Source organism: Homo sapiens, chromosome 7 (assembly GCF_000001405.40).
Source record: "Homo sapiens chromosome 7, GRCh38.p14 Primary Assembly".
Lineage (NCBI taxonomy): Eukaryota > Metazoa > Chordata > Mammalia > Primates > Hominidae > Homo > Homo sapiens.
The window spans coordinates 6,151,225-6,171,566 of NC_000007.14; the positions used below are offsets into that span (position 1 = coordinate 6,151,225).

At 54.6% G+C, this 20,342-nt stretch overlaps 2 protein-coding genes across 23 annotated transcripts in view; one reads left to right on the forward strand and one right to left on the reverse strand.

The window, feature by feature from the left end:
- The window catches only part of USP42 (ubiquitin specific peptidase 42), an 80,324-nt gene extending 69,984 nt beyond the window's left edge, over window positions 1-10,340 (forward strand). For 16 of the 19 annotated variants that reach the window (XM_047420940.1, XM_047420938.1, XM_024446969.2 and 13 more), the window contains 3 exons: window positions 2,532-3,971; window positions 5,530-5,831; window positions 9,331-10,340. In XM_047420940.1, coding sequence (XP_047276896.1) covers window positions 2,532-3,971; window positions 5,530-5,831; window positions 9,331-9,371 — 1,783 coding nt within the window. In that variant the 3' untranslated portion in view covers window positions 9,372-10,340. Of the gene's footprint in view, window positions 1-1,732; window positions 2,440-2,531; window positions 3,972-5,529; window positions 6,108-8,225; window positions 8,270-9,330 lie in introns of those variants that run through there. The other 3 variants (NM_032172.3, NM_001365764.1, XM_005249883.6) reach the window with 3 other exon arrangements.
- The window catches only part of CYTH3 (cytohesin 3), a 110,846-nt gene continuing 101,058 nt past the window's right edge, over window positions 10,555-20,342 (reverse strand). For all 4 annotated transcript variants that reach the window (NM_004227.4, NM_001367580.1, NM_001367581.1 and 1 more), the window contains 7 exons: window positions 19,978-20,090; window positions 19,606-19,754; window positions 19,311-19,422; window positions 14,510-14,586; window positions 14,321-14,392; window positions 14,049-14,203; window positions 10,555-13,792 (listed from right to left, as the gene is read on the reverse strand). In NM_004227.4, the coding sequence (NP_004218.1) occupies window positions 13,720-13,792; window positions 14,049-14,203; window positions 14,321-14,392; window positions 14,510-14,586; window positions 19,311-19,422; window positions 19,606-19,754; window positions 19,978-20,090 (751 nt within the window). In that variant the 3' untranslated portion in view covers window positions 10,555-13,719. The remainder of the gene's footprint in view (window positions 13,793-14,048; window positions 14,204-14,320; window positions 14,393-14,509; window positions 14,587-19,310; window positions 19,423-19,605; window positions 19,755-19,977; window positions 20,091-20,342) is intronic.

Sequence of the window (20,342 nt, forward strand, 5' to 3'; positions counted from 1 at the left end):
CCTGGGACGGTACACTACTGTAGACTCTGGAAACACTGCACACTTCAGCCGCACTCAATTTGTTAAAAAAATTGATTTCTTCAATAGTAAACACACCTTAGCTTACTGTAACTTTTTTACTTTATAGACTTTTAATTTTAAACTGTTTGACTCTTTTGTAATAACACTTAGCTTAAAACACAAACATACAGCTGTACAAAAATAACTTCTTTTTTTGTTTGTTTTTTTGTTTGAGACGGAGTCTCGCTGTGTCACCAGGCTGGAGTACAGTGGTGCGATCTCAGCTCACTGCAGCCTCCGCCTCCCAAGTTCAAGCAATTCTCCTGACTCAGCCTCCTGAGTAGCTGGGACTACAGGCATGCGCCACCCCACCCAGCTAATTTTTTTTTTGTATTTTTAGTAGAGACAGGGTTTTACCATGTTGGTCAGGCTGGTCTCAAACTCCTGACCTCAACTCATCCACCCGCTGTGGCCTCCCAAAGGGCTGGGATTCCAGACGTGAGCCACCGTGCCCGGCCAGCAGAGTCGTTTATTGCCATTGTCATGTATTATGTACTAATCGTATGTGCTAGACTTCCATGGGACTGGCAGTGCAGTGGGTTTGTTTACACCAGCATCACCACACTCACGAGGCACGCGTTGCCCTTGGACTGTTACAGTGACGGGAGTTTTCAGCTATGTTGTGATCTTATGGACCGCCATCATATGTGGTCTGTTGTTGACCGTATGTATGAGGTACATGACTGTACTTTGTAAAGGCCCTTCAAGGATTCTGAAATTATAGATAATAAAACCTGCCCCACAATTTAAAAAAAAAATCATGTCATGTTAGTGAAGAATGTGAATGTAACGTTGGTCAGGAGTGAGAGGAAGGGAATTTGTCATGCAGCGTCAGTGGCTTCACCTCGCAAAGCAGCAGCAGGACGGCCCCGTGGCGAGAGGCTGTGCAGGCGGTGCTTGCATCTCTGCACAGGTTGGCTGTGAGTGACAGCTCAGAGTGCGGCCGGATGTCACCATACTCGGTGCCAGGCGCGGGTTCATCATCAGGAAGTCGTGTTCTCATGGCGAACAACTTCTGGTGAAGTTCTGATCAAATCACAGCATGAGCGACTCTAGATTTATATACTGGGTGCCTTCCTGGAAACGTCAGTGTCAGTGAAAACCGTGCCAGTGACACACCCGTAGTTTTTACCCGCACGGTTGTTGGCACTCACCTGTGGGGGTGCTGTTCATGCTGGCGGGGCTCCCATCACTGTGGCAACCCCAGAATGGCCCCCGGCGGGTGGGAGTGCCCTCACTGAGGCCCTCTGTTAGGAGGGCGTAGATATTAAACCGGAATGGGGCGAACCCTGTGGGCAGGGAACACTCATTCCCAACCTAAGGATAGGCCAGCTTGGACACTCGCTCCCTCGGCCAGGGGACTCTGGCCTCACCTAGGCCAGGTAGCGTGAGGGTGAGGTAGGTGGCTGTGCAGACAAGCCCAGGCCACAGCAGCTTTCATTATTAACCCCGAGGATATATCGAAAGCTCTGCGGGAATCAAAGGACAAAGTTAATTTACTACAGAACGTTTTGCTAAAGCCTCTGATTCCTCATAATTTGTCAGTAATTGGAGGAGCTGCTGGCTGTGTTTGGAGGTGGCCCCTCTACCTTTGAGGGTCCAAGAGAAATCAGAGAAAGGGAGTCGAGAGGAAAGGAGGAGGCCCTGTCATCACTGGACTTTTTTTCTTTAGTCTTAGTTATTAGGAAGAACTAGAGGAATTGCGGCCAGGCGCGGTGGCTCACGCCTGTAATCCCAGCACTTTGGGAGGCTGAGGCGGGCGGATCACCTGAGGTCAGGAGTTCGAGACCAGCTTGGCCAAGGTATAGTGAAACCCCATCTCTACTAAAAACACAAATATCAGCTGGGCATGGTGGTGGGCACCTGTAATCCCAGCTACCCGGGAAGCTGGGTCAGGAGAATCGCTTGCACCCAGGAGATGGAGGTTGCAGGGAGCTGAGATCACACCACTGCGCTCCAGCCTGGGCAACAGAGTGGGACTCTGTCCTTCAAAAAAACAAAACAAAATGAAACAAAACAAAAAAAAAAAATAGAGGAATTGGAAGAACTAGAGGGATATCCAGAAACAGGAAGAGCCTAGAACTCTAGGATTATTGTTTTGAAAAATAGGCTAGGAGCTGGGCTTGATGATATAACATTTTATTTTTATTTAATAAGGGAAAGAGAAAATTGGGAGTTTCCAGAGATAGTAGTACTAGCCTAATATTGGGCTTCGGCGAGATGTATTTAAAGAGACGAAATAGCTGCTAAATGACGAGTTAATGGGTGCAGCACACCAGCATGGCACACGTATACATATGTAACTAACCTGCACATTGTGCACATGTAGCCTGAAACTTAAAGTATAATAATAATAAAATAAAGAGACGAAATAGCAAATGAACGTTTTGAAGTATTTGTCCTTGTAATGCAATGACATGAGCCTGTCAAGCCCACGCTAACGGGCGTGTTTGTTTGTTTGGGGGCTGCAGTGCACCTGGAGCAGAGAGGGGCCCTCCCGAGGACCGCGACGCCGAGCCTCAGCCTGGCAGCCCCGCCGCCGAATCCCTGGAGGAGCCAGATGCGGCCGCCGGCCTCAGCAGCACCAAGAAGGCTCCGCCGCCCCGCGATCCCGGCACCCCCGCTACCAAAGAAGGCGCCTGGGAGGCCATGGCCGTCGCCCCCGAGGAGCCTCCGCCCAGCGCCGGCGAGGACATCGTGGGGGACACAGCACCCCCTGACCTGTGTGATCCCGGGAGCTTAACAGGCGATGCGAGCCCGTTGTCCCAGGACGCAAAGGGGATGATCGCGGAGGGCCCGCGGGACTCGGCGTTGGCGGAAGCCCCGGAAGGGTTGAGTCCGGCTCCGCCTGCGCGGTCGGAGGAGCCCTGCGAGCAGCCACTCCTTGTTCACCCCAGCGGGGACCACGCCCGGGACGCTCAGGACCCATCCCAGAGCTTGGGCGCACCCGAGGCCGCAGAGCGGCCGCCAGCTCCTGTGCTGGACATGGCCCCGGCCGGTCACCCGGAAGGGGACGCTGAGCCTAGCCCCGGCGAGAGGGTCGAGGACGCCGCGGCGCCGAAAGCCCCAGGCCCTTCCCCAGCGAAGGAGAAAATCGGCAGCCTCAGAAAGGTGGACCGAGGCCACTACCGCAGCCGGAGAGAGCGCTCGTCCAGCGGGGAGCCCGCCAGAGAGAGCAGGAGCAAGACTGAGGGCCACCGTCACCGGCGGCGCCGCACCTGCCCCCGGGAGCGCGACCGCCAGGACCGCCACGCCCCGGAGCACCACCCCGGCCACGGCGACAGGCTCAGCCCTGGCGAGCGCCGCTCTCTGGGCAGGTGCAGTCACCACCACTCCCGACACCGGAGCGGGGTGGAGCTGGACTGGGTCAGACACCACTACACCGAGGGCGAGCGTGGCTGGGGCCGGGAGAAGTTCTACCCCGACAGGCCGCGCTGGGACAGGTGCCGGTACTACCATGACAGGTACGCCCTGTACGCTGCCCGGGACTGGAAGCCCTTCCACGGCGGCCGCGAGCACGAGCGGGCCGGGCTGCACGAGCGGCCGCACAAGGACCACAACCGGGGCCGTAGGGGCTGCGAGCCGGCCCGGGAGAGGGAGCGGCACCGCCCCAGCAGCCCCCGCGCAGGCGCGCCCCACGCCCTCGCCCCGCACCCCGACCGCTTCTCCCACGACAGAACTGCACTTGTAGCCGGAGACAACTGTAACCTCTCTGATCGGTTTCACGAACACGAAAATGGAAAGTCCCGGAAACGGAGACACGACAGTGTGGAGAACAGTGACAGTCATGTTGAAAAGAAAGCCCGGAGGAGCGAACAGAAGGATCCTCTAGAAGAGCCTAAAGCAAAGAAGCACAAAAAATCAAAGAAGAAAAAGAAATCCAAAGACAAACACCGAGACCGCGACTCCAGGTGAGCCTGGGGCCTTGTGCTCCCCGAGGCGCTGGCGCTGCTGTCAGCAGTGGGGCCTGTCCCTTCTCACTCGACTCAGGAACAAGTGACCAGCCAGGCCACAGTTGTATCCGTCTGATTTGTGTCTTTCATTTCTGTGGGTTTTGAGAGTTCACTATTTTTACAGATTTGTAAAAATTTGCCCTGCTTTGAAGCTGTATCTTTATTCTTCATGGTGTCGTTAAATGCCTAACAACCTTCTTTTTCAAAATGATAGTGCCATTTTTGGTGAATGCTTTATAACTCTTCCAGGAGTAAGCATGCAGTGTTCCATCAATGAACAATTGGGAGTCTTTGACCTTAGAATTGGTGTTAATATTCTTACTTGTCAGATGTAGTTATGTTTTCATATCTGTTATATTTTCCTGAAATTCAGTGGCTGTGAGGGAGGCAGACAACAGGAGGCACACTTTTCCTGTGCCTGCCCGCCTGCCCAGCGTAGGCATCGGAGACACCTTCGTTTCCTCGGCCTTTGTTTTTGTCTCCATTTTTCAACTTGAAATCCAATTGGGAAATTTGCTTCTGTATTTTTTAAGAGACAGGGTGTTGCTCTGTCACCCAGGCTGGAGTGCAGTGATGCCATCATAACTCACTGCAGCCTTGACCTCCTGGGCTCAAATGATATTTCTGCTTCAGCCCTCAGCCTCTGGAGTAGCCGGGACTGCAGGCGTGTGCTACCATCCTCAGCTAATTTTTTATTTTTGTAAAGACAGGATCTCACTATGCCGCGCACGCTGTTCTCAAACCCCTAGACTCAAGCGATCCCAAAGCACTGGGATCACAGGCATGAGCCACCTCACCTGGCCTGTTTTTGTATTTTTAAAAAGCTAAATTGGTTGGTGATTGTCTTGAAAATGACGTATCCATGATGAGATGGATGAGCAGGAGCAGAATTAGTAATTTTAGTTGACATCTCTTGAAACTGAAACCCTGGGAAAGATTACCAAAAGCCATATGGAAAATAGGCAGTGGTTATTGGAGGGAAAAATAATATTGCTGCCAGGTGTCTCAGGCACATGGGAGGGAAGGAGGCTTAGTATTTCCTTTCCCTTCAAGTAACTACTGGTTTCGGGAAAAGTTAGCAGAATCCTCCCTGCAGTGTTTGTCCAACAGCCTTAGTTCCTGAGAAAGCTGAAGCAGAGATGGGACTGTTCAGGATGGAGCTAAAGTTGGTGAATTTATGGCCCTGGACTGAAACAGTCATTACAGTGAAGGCAAACTTGTTAAATTTTTGAGACAGGGTCTTGCTCTGTTGCCCAGGCTGGAGTGCGGTGTTGCAGTCGTAGCTCACTGCAGCCTCAATCTCCTGGGCTCAAGTGATCCTCCTGCTTCAGCCTCCCGAGTAGCTGGGACTACAGGTGTGCGCCACCATACCTGGCCTACGTGGCTAATTAGATAAGAATTGTGCGTGTCTGCACAGTGAATGTTCTCGGTGAATGGGTGGAAAGGCCAAGCTCCAGGGTCTGCTGCTGGTGGTTTTGTGTTTTAGGGTTTTGAATTCTGGCTTTTCCTTCTGCAGGCATCAGCAGGACTCAGACCTCTCAGCAGCGTGCTCTGACGCTGACCTCCACAGACACAAAAAAAAGAAGAAGAAAAAGAAGAGACATTCAAGAAAATCAGAGGACTTTGTTAAAGATTCAGAACTGCACTTACCCAGGGTCACCAGCTTGGAGACTGTCGCCCAGTTCCGGAGAGCCCAGGGTGGCTTTCCTCTCTCTGGTGGCCCGCCTCTGGAAGGCGTCGGACCTTTCCGTGAGAAAACGAAACACTTACGGATGGAAAGCAGGGATGACAGGTGTCGTCTCTTTGAGTATGGCCAGGGTAAGAGGAGATACTTGGAATTAGGAAGATAGAAACTATTTCTTAATACATTTTCTTTGCAAAGGTGATTAACATGTAGAAAGAAAACCTCAGGTGGCATCAAAGGGCACAGTTACTCAGAGCACCCCTGCCCTGCCTGGTCTGGCCTCAGTGCTCATCCCTGCAGTGTGGTTCCGTTGCACAGTTAAGCCCTTAGCGTTTATTGAAGGCCTAAGTGACACAGGACTGAGGGCAGCACTACCTGTGTCACCAAAGCCCTGGAACGTACAGCTCTAGGCATCTGACTTTGCCTTGCAAAGGACCAGAACTCTTGGTTTGGTTTGGTTTTATTTTATTTTATTTTATTTATTTTATTTTTTGAGACGGAGTCTTGCTCTATTGCCCAGGCTGGAGTGCAGTGGCGGCGATCTCAGCTCACTGCAACCTCTGCCTCCCAGGTTCATGCTGTTCTCCTGCCTCAGCCTCCTGAGTAGCCGGGACTACAGGCGCCCGCCACCACGCCCGGCTAAATTTTGTGTTTTTAGTAGAGACGGTGTTTCACCGTGTTAGCCAGGATGGTCTCGAGAACTCTTGGTTTTAAAGCATTTTTGATAGAAATACTTTTGCAGCGTATACGTTACTCTCCCGAATCCTTAAACCTGTAGCATTCTGAGTGCACCCTGATGCTCGGTACTGATTTGCTCGCTTGGTTCCTTAGAAGCGTGGGCACCAGCCTCTGCTTGAGTGACACTGCAGAGGCCTCCATGTGGCAGAGCGCTGGCTGCCCCTGCCAGGTGTCCTGGATTCTCTTCTGCCCTGTGGGGCTGTGTCTCCGTCCTGTGGCCACACGCTGTGCTCTTACTGCACTTGAGGCAGCCCCCCACTTCCTCTCCCGTTGGTGTCCGGTGACCGCTCACCCTCGAGAGGAGCTGTGAGCCTGTTAGAAGCGGATGTCACTCGAGTCAGTGGACCTAGAGCGGAGGCTGGCAAACTGCAGCCCTGGGGCCAACTTCGGCCAGTCACCAGACTTTGTATGAACTTGGAGTTAAGAATGGTTTTAACCTTTTTAAGTGGTTGGAAATAATCCCAAAGAACAATGCGTTTCACATGAAAATGATGTGAAATTCAGACCTCAGTGTCTGTGGCTTGATTGGGGCGCAGCCAGGTGCGTTCCCACGCTGTCTGGCGGCTTCGCTGTCACTGCCTGGCAGAGGTGAGTGGCTGCGGCAGGGCAGGGACCGTGTGGCTCGCAAAGCGGAAAATGTTTATTATTGCCCCTTGACAGAAAGGGTTTGTCACCCCTGCCTGGACGCCCATTGTTTGTGTTCACGTGTGAAGCGCATCCCCTCCTCCCAGGGGCTTTTGACGAATCTTCAGGGCTGCCCTGAGGCCTTTTGCTTCTCGGCTGAGTTGTGGGTTAGGTGGAGCTGTGTGTTCTGGGGAAGGCCTGTCCCTCCCAGCAGCCCAGAGCCAGCATGCATTGTTGATTGAGGGGTAAACGGTCCTTAGAGTGTGTGAGAGAGAGCTGGGGGTTGCGGGGTGAGCCCCATGGGGGACATTTGCCCATGGAGTGCTGGGGAAACAGCCGGAGATGAGGACAGGCACCAGCACTGCCGGTGAGGACGGGTTGCCTGCGGGCCTTGTAGACGTTCTGGACATTTCAGAATTGGTTTTGCGTTCCCATTTCAGCGAATCGGGGAAGGAGATTCGTGAGGGCTGCTTGGTACCCGAGGATCCGAGGATGCAGTGGATGGGCTCATTCTGAGTGTGGTGCAGGCTCCCAGGATCATGGGCTTCCAGCTGGGGCTACTGGGAGACAGTGATGGCCCCCGAGGCAGCTGGTCCAGCGGGAGGGAGGTTGAACGTGATCTTGTTTGCCTCGTGTCTCGGGTGCTGTGGTCAGGCGTTGTCTGTGTGGTGGCCCTGTGTTTCCGTCCCCGTCCCACTGCACCGATGACAGGGTTTGCAGCTGGCGCTTCTGCTGCGAGCAGACTGAGGAGCCTTTCTTGTCCTTCTGAGAAGGCCGCTGCCCGGCCCCGCCTCACCCAGCGTCCTGTGGTCCTGCGGGTCCCCCTCTACCCTGGACTTCGGCCCCTTGTCTTTCTCTTTCAAACTCCTCCTCTGGCTCTGTTCCGCCCAGTTCAGTTCTTGGGCCTGATATCTGTTCTAACATCAGGCTGCGTGTGGGTTGGATGGAGCCCTCAGTCATCACGTAAACCCTTTGACATCAGTAAAACCCTGGGAGCAGCCGCTGAGCGCTGGGACATCCCTGCTCACCTCACTGGGGAGTGGCCTCAGGCGCTCACAGGGAACCGCAGTGACTCTGACCATAGCCACTTAACGCACACACACAGCAGAGGCCCTGGCGATTTTGCAACCATCATTAAAATCTCTTTCCTGACCTTTGCTTTCTAGGTGATTGAAAACTCAGCCTCAAAACAAAAAATTCACTAGTTATGGTAAGCTGTTTTCCTGTCTGTTTCCTCATTGTTTGTGGTGGCGCTGAGGGGACGCAGGCAGAGGAGTTTTAATTCTGCGGCTCTGCCTGGGGGCTGGGCTCATAGGAGTTGGCAGAGCCATGGAGAGGCCCCGGCAGGTTCCCAGCCAGCCCAGACCCAGGCCACGCGCTTGGGGACAGACCTAGACCCTCCACCTCATCACGTTTGCATTACTGGCTGGGGAAGACCCGCATCCTTCACGCAGGCAGAGTCGCCCTGTTCCCTTGTGCCTCACTTGGGAAAAGCCAACCCGGCTCACAGCGGCAGAGCCCACGGGCCTTTGATAAACATCTGGGAAGGGAGAGGCCCGGTCCCCAGCACAGGCACCTCACTCAGGAGAGCGGAGCCTTGCTCCCTCGTCCGTCCCGTCCCCTGTGCTGCTGTCTGCGCCCCGAGGTGGCACTGAGCTGGAGCCAGCACCCCCCCAGCAGCCACCGTACAAAACCATAGGAAGGTGGCCCAGGGCCGGGCGGCAGATCAGGACCTCGGAGCTGTGGGGCTTTGTTGGATCACTTCACACAGCGGTCCTGGGAGAGTCACTGGTTTTATACCTGACCCTTGTGGAGCTAGAGGGGACAGTGAACCATTTTTCCCTTGAAAGGAAACTTTGTCCAAATGTGTCTGTCACATGTAGTCAGCAAGAGGAATTTAAAATGAATTGCCAAGTGAAGAGTCTGTGGATTAATTGGCCGTTAATTAACAGGCTTTATCAATGTGTCCTCAAGGGAGAGGCCCAACCCTAATTAAGGAGCTAAACTTCCTGAGTGAGGGGCTGTGAGGATGGAGGTGGAGGAGGCATCTGGGGCGGGTGGTGGCCGGGCCCAGCAGATGGCGCCTCCCTGGCTGAGCTGCCCGCACCGCCAGTTCCCTCATTTCCACTCAGGAAGGCAGAGAAGGCAGAGTGATCTCCTCAAGGAAGAGCTTCCCCAGCCTTCGGGAGCAGCTGGCAGGGCGTCCGGGAATAAGCCCTACACGCCGCCGCCTGCCTCCAACTCACTAACCCTGCGCCTCTTGTCTTTCAGATTCAACGCGTTCAACAGAAGCCATCCCCAGCCCAGCTTAAATTATAAAGATAGACAATAACTCTGTTCCAATCTGCGTGGTGCTTCTTTAGTAAATACTGTACAGATTTTACCATGGAGAACTTTTTTTTTAGTTTTTACCTTTTCTTAATTACCCTTATTCCGAATGGACGAACACTTTCTACCACTGCTGACCATTGTAAAATACCGTGTATATAAATCCCATTGAAATAATGCCCTGGAATAGAACATCTCAAATGCTGCTTAATTACAGACTCAGGTCGATTACTTGTATTTCATGTAATGTTCCTCCAAGTTAGACATCTGGTGCAAGACCAACCGGGAGACCATGGAATTGTCAAAAGTACAAACTGACAGTGTGTATATTTAATTTAAAGACTTATTTAAAAACTCACAAGCTCTCACCTAGACTTTGGAGAGCAGTCTGTTTTCTGTAATGTCTGATACTAGAAACTAATTTGCTTATTTTAGTTGTATTCAAGATTTGAAGATGTATTTTATAGACAAGTTCTGTTTTTGAACTTTGTGGAACTGTTCCAATCAATCAATTTCCCAGTTATGATGAGTATTTACATTATGAATGTATAACCCAGACATGATTTGTAAAGCCGACAGTATGTTTCTATTACACAACACTTTTTGATACAGCGTCTCTTGTCTTCACTGATACTGGAGTCTCCGTTGTCTGCTTGGTCCCTTCGAGTTTCTAGTTACAGACACAATCATACTGTGATTTTATTTTTAATATGGATATGCTATCAAACTGTGATACACTTATAATTCACTGGTCCTGCATCAGGAGATGGAGTGGGGAAAACTGTATTTAATACAGTTTGTATCTGAATAATCTGTATGGTTTATACAGTTTGTGTTGTTCAGAGATGTTTAAAGTTTGATCTTTGTTTTTCTAAAGATTAAAAAAGCACTTGCCCCACTGTAAATATACAGCATGTAAAATTTCTATAGTATATAAATGGCAGCAAATCACACACTTGGCGTCTTTTTACTGTTGTTTTCCCCATTTGCTTCCAGACTCCTTCCTGTCATCATCTGAATTCACTTTCTTAAAACCTTCAAGTAAGTGCTCCTGCCGAAGTCGGCACCTTCGGCCAGGCCATCCCACCTCGGACGGGCAAAGGAAAATTGGAGGGGTGTTTGCTGGACCCAACAATATCTGTTTTAAAGAACCAAGTCTTAGGCTTGTTTTAACAATACATGTGATTTTTATTTAGTGAACACAGTATCTGCAAGAGCTCTGACAGCCATCCACCCTCCAATCTTACTTCACTTTACAACCAAGTATCAATAGAGGCTGTTCCTTCATGCGAGCTGTGGGAGTATATACATCATTGAATAACAGACACTCCAGAAATCAACAGATGTACATTATTTACATATTACTATATTTACCGCAAATAGAAATATTTTCTAAGAAAAAAAGTCAATTTGTGGTTTCTGGTCTACCACAGACCTAACTTCTCAGCAAAGCATATCTATGTAGATATCTGCGTTTGTAACTTTAAAAATAGGCATTGCTTTCTATGAAGCACTAAGTGCTGCTCCATCTATAAATAGCTCCTATTTTCAGTTTGGTACCACATTAAACTGCCCCAAAATGTTCTGTGACCCCAAAGACACAAAGTTGCTGCTTATCTGGGTCCAGGGTCAGTACAATTAAACTCAAATATGAACCAGGGCGGCCAGCAAGACAGGCTGGAAGGGCTGTGGCAGTCGCCGCCGCCTCCCCGCGGGGCTCCCCTCACTGCCTCCTGGCCTCTGTCTCTGGAAAAAAGTATCTTTGGCCAGAGTTGGGACTAACAATTCAAGCCCTGCGCTCAGACGTCAGGGTGGGGAGGAGGAGGACTGTGATTGTGACGCGGCCTGCCCAGGGTGAGGGACAAAAAACAGATGTGTCCTGTTTCAGGGCCGTCCTGGTAGCGGCTGGCCCTGCGCAGTCACTGACCCAGAGTTTTCTGGACCAGGCCTGCCTCAAGGATCAGCAGGCATGATGGTCGCACAGCCTTCATGCTAATACTGTCCTAACACAGCCTGGAGCTAGGCGATTTCCTTTGACCACAAAGTACCTGGAGTCTAACTCAGCACCACAGCCTCTGCATGGCTCCCAGGTGCCCACCACCTGGCGAAGCTCATTCACAGATGACAGCAAAGGGGGAGCTTGATCATCTGGCGACTCCTTCCTGCTGCTTCTCCCAACACCCAAAACAGAAAGCTCTGCATCCCCAGGTCACACCTGGGTTGGTCAGAAGAAGGAAACAGCTTGTCCGAGCACAACATGCTGACAGAGCTGGCTGTGGCCAGTCTTGGGTGCCGGGCCAGCCTGAGGGGTGGGCACCGCCGGAGCCGGCCGTCAGTGTGTGGTCTGGGTGGGGGTCCAGGCAGCATTTATTTTCATGGAAGACTGGAGGCCAGAGTTGCATATCTACCAGTCAGGCATTTCAAGAACGCTGACTTGCCTTTCTCAGAACTAAAACTTCCGATTTGAGGTATCAGTAACAAAGCCTAAGAACGTGGGAATGAAAGTCTGATGCAGGACAGGGGTTTCTGGCCTCGGACCCCTCTGCAGTCTAGTGTGACTTAAAGCTACATCAAGGTCAGCCGCAGGGAGGCGAAGGGCCCGCAGCCGCTCGGCCTCCACTTCAAGGCAACTCAAAGAACAGTCTCCGCTGCTGAGAAGGAAACCTAGGTGCACAAAGTCTGAGGTTTTGTCTCTGGACTGGGCATTTTGCACAGGAGTACAGATGCCCTCCAGAGGGTGCAGATTCAAGGTGTGTGTGCCTATGCAGGTGGGGCAGGAAGAGGAAGTCCATAGAGGAAAAGCCAGCCACCAACCCAACAGCCCACTGTGTAACAGGGTCCTGGGGACGCAAATCTCCCGACAGAGAACAGCGTCTGCCACCGGCCCGGGTCGGCCCAAGCACACAATGCCCCCGGTCCAGCCCTGAGCCCTCTCTGTAGGTGGGGCCCAGATCCAGCCTTCCTTGAGCGGAGCACTGGGCACCTCCTATCCTTACATCCACAGCAACCTGACAACCTCCCAGGCGGGCGTGGAGTTTGACCAGTTCCACCACCGGCGTCTATCTGGGTTCTCTACGTGCCGGGCCTCTGCACCCCAGGGCCTGTTCTTCCCTCCTCGTAGGGAGGGCACCTCTCTCAGGACACGGCGCACTACATGGGGTGAGACTGTTTTTAGTTAATTCTGTGTCTATTCATTAAGAAATCTGGTCAAATTAGAAAGTCTGTAAAATAAGCGTTCATTTTGCCACAGGTTTTAAATAGCGATGAATATGGTCAAAAGCCGGTCTAACCTGCTGACCTGTATGAAACGCTGCCATGTGTGTGCATCTAAACAAAACATCAGCAGTTTCACGTGGCTCAGCGTATGGACCATCTGTGTCCAGGGAAAAGGCTGTTTCCTAGGAGTTAGCAGTTACAGCCTAAACACCCCCAAACCATTAACTGTTATAATTTTAATGATTTGCTTAAAGTATTTGTGGGGCCAAAAAGCCTGGTTGAAGGGAGGCCTCATGGGAGTCACCCTGGAGCCCCCAAGTGCCATGGCCGTCCCTCCCCCAGCCCGTCCCGAGCCCACCTGCTGCCCCCCGGGGCTTGTCTGACAGCCTGACAGGGCAGGGCTGCACGCTGCCCCCGTGCCGGTGCCCCCAGCCCTCCCCTTGGGTGCTGTGTAGATGGATATTTTTTCAGTGCACAGTATATACTTGTGTCCAGGAGTTAACTTTATAGCTGCCATTCTAAAAATACTACTGTTAGAAAGTATCTTTTGTTATAATTTCAGAATATAAAAAGGCATATAAAAGCTATAATCCTATATATCTGAGAAAAATTCTGAATAAAAAACTGGTAGCTTTTCCTTTCCTGTTTTGCTATAAAACAGTGGCTTTCTAGAACGGTTAATACTGCCCCGAGTGAATGCGTTTGGCATGGTACGAATGAGGCTCCCGTCTGTGGAATCCGTCCCGTGTCTGCTGTGGAGACAGCGGAAGCTGCTGTCCTGGCTTCTCCCCCTAGGGGCGCCGGGATGGTCGCAGGAAGGAAATGCTTCTGGACATGCGCAGCCGACCATGACCCCAGCCACGGCAGGAGGCCTCGAGGATCAGTCTGGGCCACGGTACGCTCTGGAGCAGCAGCTTGCACTGCAGGGCGACCACCTCCCAGGACCCCAGCCACGGCACGAGGCCTTGGGGATACCACCTGGGCCACGGTATGCTCTGGAGCAGCAGCTTGCACCGCAGGGCGACTGCCTCCCTGCCACGCCTTCCGCGGAGGGGCCGCCCGCGGTGTCTTTCTGCTGGGGTTGGGTCTTTTACCTGGGTCTTTTAGCCAGGAAAGCTATTTTTTATTGGCAATCCTTCGTTTCCTCGTTGCCAACATGTCATAGAAGGGATCTCTGCTGATACTGGCTCTGGTGAAAAAAGGAAAACACACAGGTTAGGTCGTGGGTGACACACAGACCTCCCCTTTCCCACCAGCCCCAGAGGCCCCTCAGACAGGACCGCAGGCTCAGATCTGAACGTCGGCTTTGGCAGCCCGGCCCTCTGGGGTTTCTGGAGACAGAAGGTCCACTCTTGCACACGGAAGCATCCATGTTCCAGACCATCCCCCGCCCTCCAACCGGCACGAGAAGACGGGCCTGGCCCCGCCCCCGAGGCCCCACTCACTTGATGGATTTCATCCACTCCTCCTTCTCCTCCGGGCTCGGGGCTGAGATCCGGTACACCACATGGTTCCCCTCTACCACGCGGCCGTCGGCCTCAGTCTTACAGGCCTTGATGACCTGCCCTTTGTGGCTGGGATTGTAGAGCTCAAAACAGTTCTGGTGGAGAAAGAGAGAGGGGAGGCGGTCAGGGGGGCTTGGGGCAGGTTCCCTGCAGGCAGTGAGGATGGCTCCCAGGTGGCTGGCAGGAGAGAAGGTTCAGGAGGAAGAGCTTACGGGTTTCCGGGGGTCCTCCACCTCCCTGATGCTGAGGTTTTCCAACGGGATGATTCCCCTGGGCTCCTTATCCTACAAGAGGAAAGTACACGGCGGGGCTCACTGTGGGTCACCAGCCTGAGGGTCCCTCGGCCCCAGGGCAGCTCCGGGACTGCTGGGAGGCGGCAAGGAGGCCTGGCCCTTACTTACTGTTGTGTATTCAAAGTAATAGAGGCAGTTATCGGTCAGGATGAACCACCGGCGCTTCCAGGTCTTCACACGCCCTCCTAGAAGCAGAAGGGCCCCGTGAGTCTGCGCTCCGTGCACAGGGAGCCCGCGGGTCCAAGAGGGGGCCCTGGACCTGCACAGACCACTGCGTTTTCAGAAAGGCCACCAGGCGCCAGGCTTGGGTTCAGGTGTCCTTCAGCGTTCCCACCGCAGGGCCCCACATGCACCCACCCCGCCCACACCGGCGCCCCCTCCACGGCACTGATGGGCCCCTTGATGACACAACCGCGCTACAATTCGCTTCCTGGGAGAGTTAGTGGGATGGATGGCGTCATTTTCCCACATGAGATGGCAGTGTGATGAAGTCAGGACTGCGCGCCTGGCTCTGTCCAGGACCTGACCCCACCATGTCAGGTGGTTATCGCATTACAGAGGCCCTTGGGCAGCCCTGGGATCCATCAAAATCAGTCACCCCTGGGCCCAAGGAATCGTGAGACTGAATTAATTTTGTAACAAGATCTGGAGCACACGTGCACACGCACGTACCCCCATCTGTACCTGCCCTCCTCTCCCTAAGGGAAGGAAATCTCTGATCCTTAAACACTGAGCAGAGACAAACTGACTTCAGCTGCTATAGCCTTGCCGGTGTTTGTTTTTTAAATAATTCAAAGAAATACACGCTGGTGACAATGAACTCAAGTGCTCCCTGGGGTACTAGGCCCTCTCTGCCCCATGCCTCTCCAGCGCTGCGGAGCTCACCCGGCTTTCTCTGTGACAGGCCGGCAGGGGAGTAGCCCTCCCTCCCTAAGTGGGGGCCAGCACGGGCGCTGAGGCCTGGAGGCAAGACTGTGTGCGAAGGGCTCTGTGGATGGATCACCAGGACACAGGGGGCTTTCCCTGTTGGGGCCTGGTTTGCAGAGACCCTGGGTGAGGAGGAACCAGCTGCAGGTGGGAGGAAGCCTGGCTCAGCGGAACTGGAGGCCGGAAGCGGGTCTCTGCAGTCCCTCTGGGACCCTCTGGCCCCTGCCTCACTCAGTGCTGCCGTCCTCCTTTGATGCCTAAGGCAGCCTGCAATGCGGTTGCCACCGCCAGCCTGGAACAGGAGCCCAGCCTCCAGCTGTTCCTCCTCTCCCCACAGGCCCCAGTCTCATCAGTGTCCCACCAGCCTACCTGTTAAAGGGTCTGTCTAGACCCTGGTCTGGGCAAATCTGCCCCCAAGCTCTCTGCTGCATCTCCCCAGCCCTCAGACCCTGCCCCCAACATCTCTCCTGAGCCCTGGCGGGGCTTCCACTCCCCGAACCCCTGCAAGCTGCTCCGTCACTGGAACCCTCTGCCCCAACTGTGGCACCGCCTCACTGGTCCCCTTTAAGACCCAGCCAGGCCCACAGCAAGGCCCAAAGTCCTTGTTGCCCTCGTGTCCCTGTCTCACCGCGGGCTCCATGCTCTCTGCAAGCCCTTGGCCTTCACCTTCCCCACCTCCACTGCAGCACACCAGGGAGGCCCAAGTCCACAGGGGAGGGCAGGAGACCCTGGGGGCAACCTGCCTTGTCCCACAGTCCTCCAGTGAGCAGTGAGAGGTGTTCTATGTCCCCGAGACCCTAGGGACAGGAGGACAGTGCTGATTCCTTCCAGGCACTTGCTCCAGCTTGAACTGCTGTGGCAGAATCAGCTGACAGCAACTCCACTACCCTGACATCCGTCACTGTCACGGTCGCCTCTGCTTCCCTCCAGAGACTCCAGAGCAGGCCCCGCTCCAGCTGCACTGGTGCCAGCTGCCATCCCCCAAACAGCGGCCAAAGGCATCTTTTCAAAAACGTGGCAATCATGCCCCTCCGGCTTGAAGCCCCCCAAAGGGTCCCACTGCACTCAGCTTTAAACCCAACTCCTTGGGCGGCAGCAGGGGCTGCCCTTCCTGGCTCCCCAGCTGTGGCCTTTCTCCCTGCCCTGTTATCTGAGTCTCCAGTTCTTGGGGAGCTCATCCAGGAGCCCCCAGGTTGTGTGTTTCTGTCCAGCGCCTGCTCTCTTCCTCCACGCTCCCAGCATGGTGGACAGCAAAGGACCTGTATGTTCCACTAGCCCACACACCTGGCCCCGCCTGGGAGGGGTCTGCCAGGTGGCCTCTCAGCTCCACCTTGGGTCCCCCGCTCACACCTCCCATGCAGAGCCCCATCCCTGTCCAGTCCTCAGGGCCAGGGGGTCGTTGCAGACCAGGACTGCAGGCCCAGGGAAGGGGTGATAAGCTTGGTCTCAGAGCCGAGCAGGCTCTGCTCACACTTGTTTCTGGCCACACCACACAGCATTCTCGCCTGCAGACAAGAGCCTGGCTTCTGGAACCTGCAGATGGGAGCCACTTTCTCTCTGTAAGTTTCTGTCTTCATTGCCGTTAGCAGGCAGGCGCGTACGTGCACACACAGGTCCACATGCACACACTTTCTGTATGGCAGCTCGGATTGGGCCACCTCCTAGGATTTTTTTTTTTTTTTTTTTTCTGGTGATTGATTCAAGACTCGAAGTCTTAAGTTACCAACAATCGTAAGCCACGCCTGTGTACACAGCAGGGCTCCTACGCTCTGGCAAAGCATCCAGGCCTTTTTAAGACCACCTGTTCTAAAAGCAAATCTACAATAAGAATGCAACCAAGCCAGGCCGCACTCCCCGCTGAGCACACGCCTGGAAGCACGTTCTAGATCCTGCACCCATCTCGTCTGCCTCCAGCCAGGGCCCTGGCTCGCCAGCCTTTGGTCTCGAACTTTGTTTCTGAGAACACAGCAGACATACAGGGTGCTGGGAGAGGACAAGGAAGCCAGCCCCTAGAGCAGCAGGTGCTCACCGGGCCGCCCACCACACTGAGGCCACGCCAGCTGGACCAGCCCCTCCAGGGCCCCTGCGCTTGGCACCCGGCGCCCAGCCAGCTCTTGGTTCCCGTGAGCACTGTGTGCACTCATTTCATGGCCTGTTTATCTGCCCAACCAGAAAACAGGTTAGACAACACGAGCTCTGCTGTGCCTTCATTTCATTCACACACTTACGTCTCTAGAGCCGACCTTTCCCTGGTGGCAGGGGTCACATTGGCTGCCAGGCAGGCTGATGGCGTCACTGTCCCTCGAGGGGACACTGGTGGGCAACGCAGGAACCAGAAGGGAGGCATCTAATCAAACGAACATCCCACTTATCCCGGCCCCAGAGTGCCTGCCGGCATTTCCGGTTACATTCCCCCCCACCGGCCCTCACTCTAGAACACTCGCACAATGTGATTTGAATCGGGTCTCTCAGGCACCCGAGCCAAAGACCATGGTACTAGGTTTTCAGGCAAATATCTACAACTCCCCTAAACCTCGGTACAGCCAGAAAAAAGTCAAAGAGCAATGGCCAAGGTCAAAGACCCTAATGGGAATGGCAGACCTGTGGGACTCACACCCTTTCCACCAGCTGAGGAGGCCTGTGCCCGTCACACCGTGTCTCACCCTTCCTTGATGTTTATTTTTTTGAGACGAGGTCTCACTCTGTCGCCGAGGTGGGAGAGCAGTGGCACAGTCATGGTTCATTGGAGCCTCAACCTCCTGGGCTCAGGCCATCCTCCTGCCTCAGCCTCCCTAGTAGCTGGGACTACAGGCACACACCATCACGCCAGGCTAATTTTTTGTAAAGATGGGGTTTCACTATATTGCCCAGGTGGTCTGAAGCTCCTGGCCTAAGCAATCCTCCCACCTCAGCCTCCCAAAGCACTAGGATTACACACATGAGCCACTGCACCCGGCTGATAAAATTTTTAAAAAATCACCAGGATGCTCCACTCCATGTCTCACGTGCTGCCCAGCGGCCGCCTGCTCTCAGAAAGGCTTGCGTGAACCCAGCTACCGCATCTCGCCCGCTTCACTGTGGGCATAAGGCAACCATCCCCGCCCCGCAGGCAAAACAACCCCTCAGCATTTCTAAAACTGCCCGTAATTGCCCTAAATTGCTCCAAAGGCCTTTAGAGCACTCCCGAAATCTCTCCATGCGCTGCTGGGTTAGTATGGGGTGGAGGGTGACGCCGCAGGGACAGGGCTGGCTGTCTGCTTCTCTACTGCTGCGGACCCCTAGAGACACAGGGTGGGGGGCAAGTTGGTTCCCACACAGCATCCCCATGTGCTCCAGGTCCCAGCCACTCTCAGCCCCGCCCCTGGGGGTGGGTGTAGCATTCACCACACCGTGCACGGCGCAGCCCCAGCAAGTCCACAGATGGATCGGATGAATGGCAGCCACACAGCGGAGCTCACACAGACCAACGTGGGGAGAGCGAGAGGAATGAGCCGCTGAGGGGGCGGGGAGCCACTGGGTACCTACCTCCTAAAGCAGGACAAGCAGGGACAGCCCGTCACAGAACAGAAAGGTGGGAGCCACAGGCAGAAGGAAAACAACAAGAAGGCACATTTAAACCACGCGTCAAAAATCACAGCCACACCAAACCGAGAGAGGCACACAGGCTCTGTGGAGATAATGCGCTTGCTTCTCGTGCAGGAAGCTGCCCTGGCTGGATCTGGATGCTAACTCAGCAGTTTTCTGGGACGGGCCGTGCAGCCTGGGCGCTACTCTCTGCCGCGGGCATGGCTCTGAGGCCCCGGCTCGGAGAAGCAGCCGTGGCCATGCAGCTACCGAGAGCGGGCTCTGGCTTAACCGCGTTTCTTTTTAACGTCTCTGCCTGCGGTGGGGGGCATTCCTACGATGAGCCTGGGAGGAACCCGAGGGGCTGCTGCCATGGGCAGAGGGGTCACGCCCGGGTCCCGCTGGGCCGGCGGCTCACCCAGCTTCAGGAGCCAGCCCTCGCGGTCGGGGTTGAAGAAGGTGTGGGTCAGGTCGTTCCCGTCGTCCTCCGGGATCTTAAATGGCTCGTTCTTAATGCTCTCATACAAATTCTGCAAGGAGGGAAAACAGCAGCCAGTTCAGAGACTCGGAGGAAAATGGCTGGCCGGGCAGAAAGCTCAGCGGGACCAGGGCGGCAAGGAGGCTTGGGAGGCGTGTCTAGAGCCGCGGGCGCTGCGGCCGCTCACAGCGAAGAGATCCTGCAGACGGCAGCGGCCGCGGGCCGGGGAGCTCACCCTCAGCAGCTCCTCAGGGAGGTCCCCGCCCTCGTTGATGCCGCGGTTCATGGCGATGAACCGTTCTGCCGTGGGCTTGTCACGCACGTTGTGGTTGTGGAGGCTGGTGTTGAGCATGATGATGGCGAATGACAGCACGTAGCACGTGTCTGCAACGAGTCCGGGGTGCTGGGCTCAGCCAGAACCTCCAGTGGACAGTGGGACCCCGCGTGCTGGGGGCCCGCCTGCAAGAGGTGCCCGGCCCACAGGTCGTCCTCGCTCAGGGAAGGCAGGTCCCCAGGAACACACGCTGGGCTGTGCCCACAGGGGCCGCCCCCTCCAGAGCTGGAGGCTGTGCCTGGCAAGGGGCCAGGCTGTGGGCTCTGCACTGACCTGTGGACTGGAAGACCCCGGGGTTGCACAGGCAGTAGCGAGAAGCGAAAGCCTCCATCATGCGATCAATCTTCTGCGCCTCCCCGGGCAGCCTGAAGCTCCATAAGAACTGCCTGTGGAGACACCAAAGCCATGGGAAGCCGCATCAGAACCAACACCGCCTCACGGCCAAGGGCGGCTTCTGCCCAGCTCAGGAAGGACGTTTTCCTCCCGAGCCTGGGGTACAGCTCTGGCAGGGGCTTGGGGGCGCAGAGACAGAAAGGAGAAGACCCAGGACAGTCTCCTTCCGTTCCATAACTCGAGACACGCTTACTGATGGCTCATCTTTTTGTAACTACAACCAATTCAGCAGCGAGGCCGGTTGT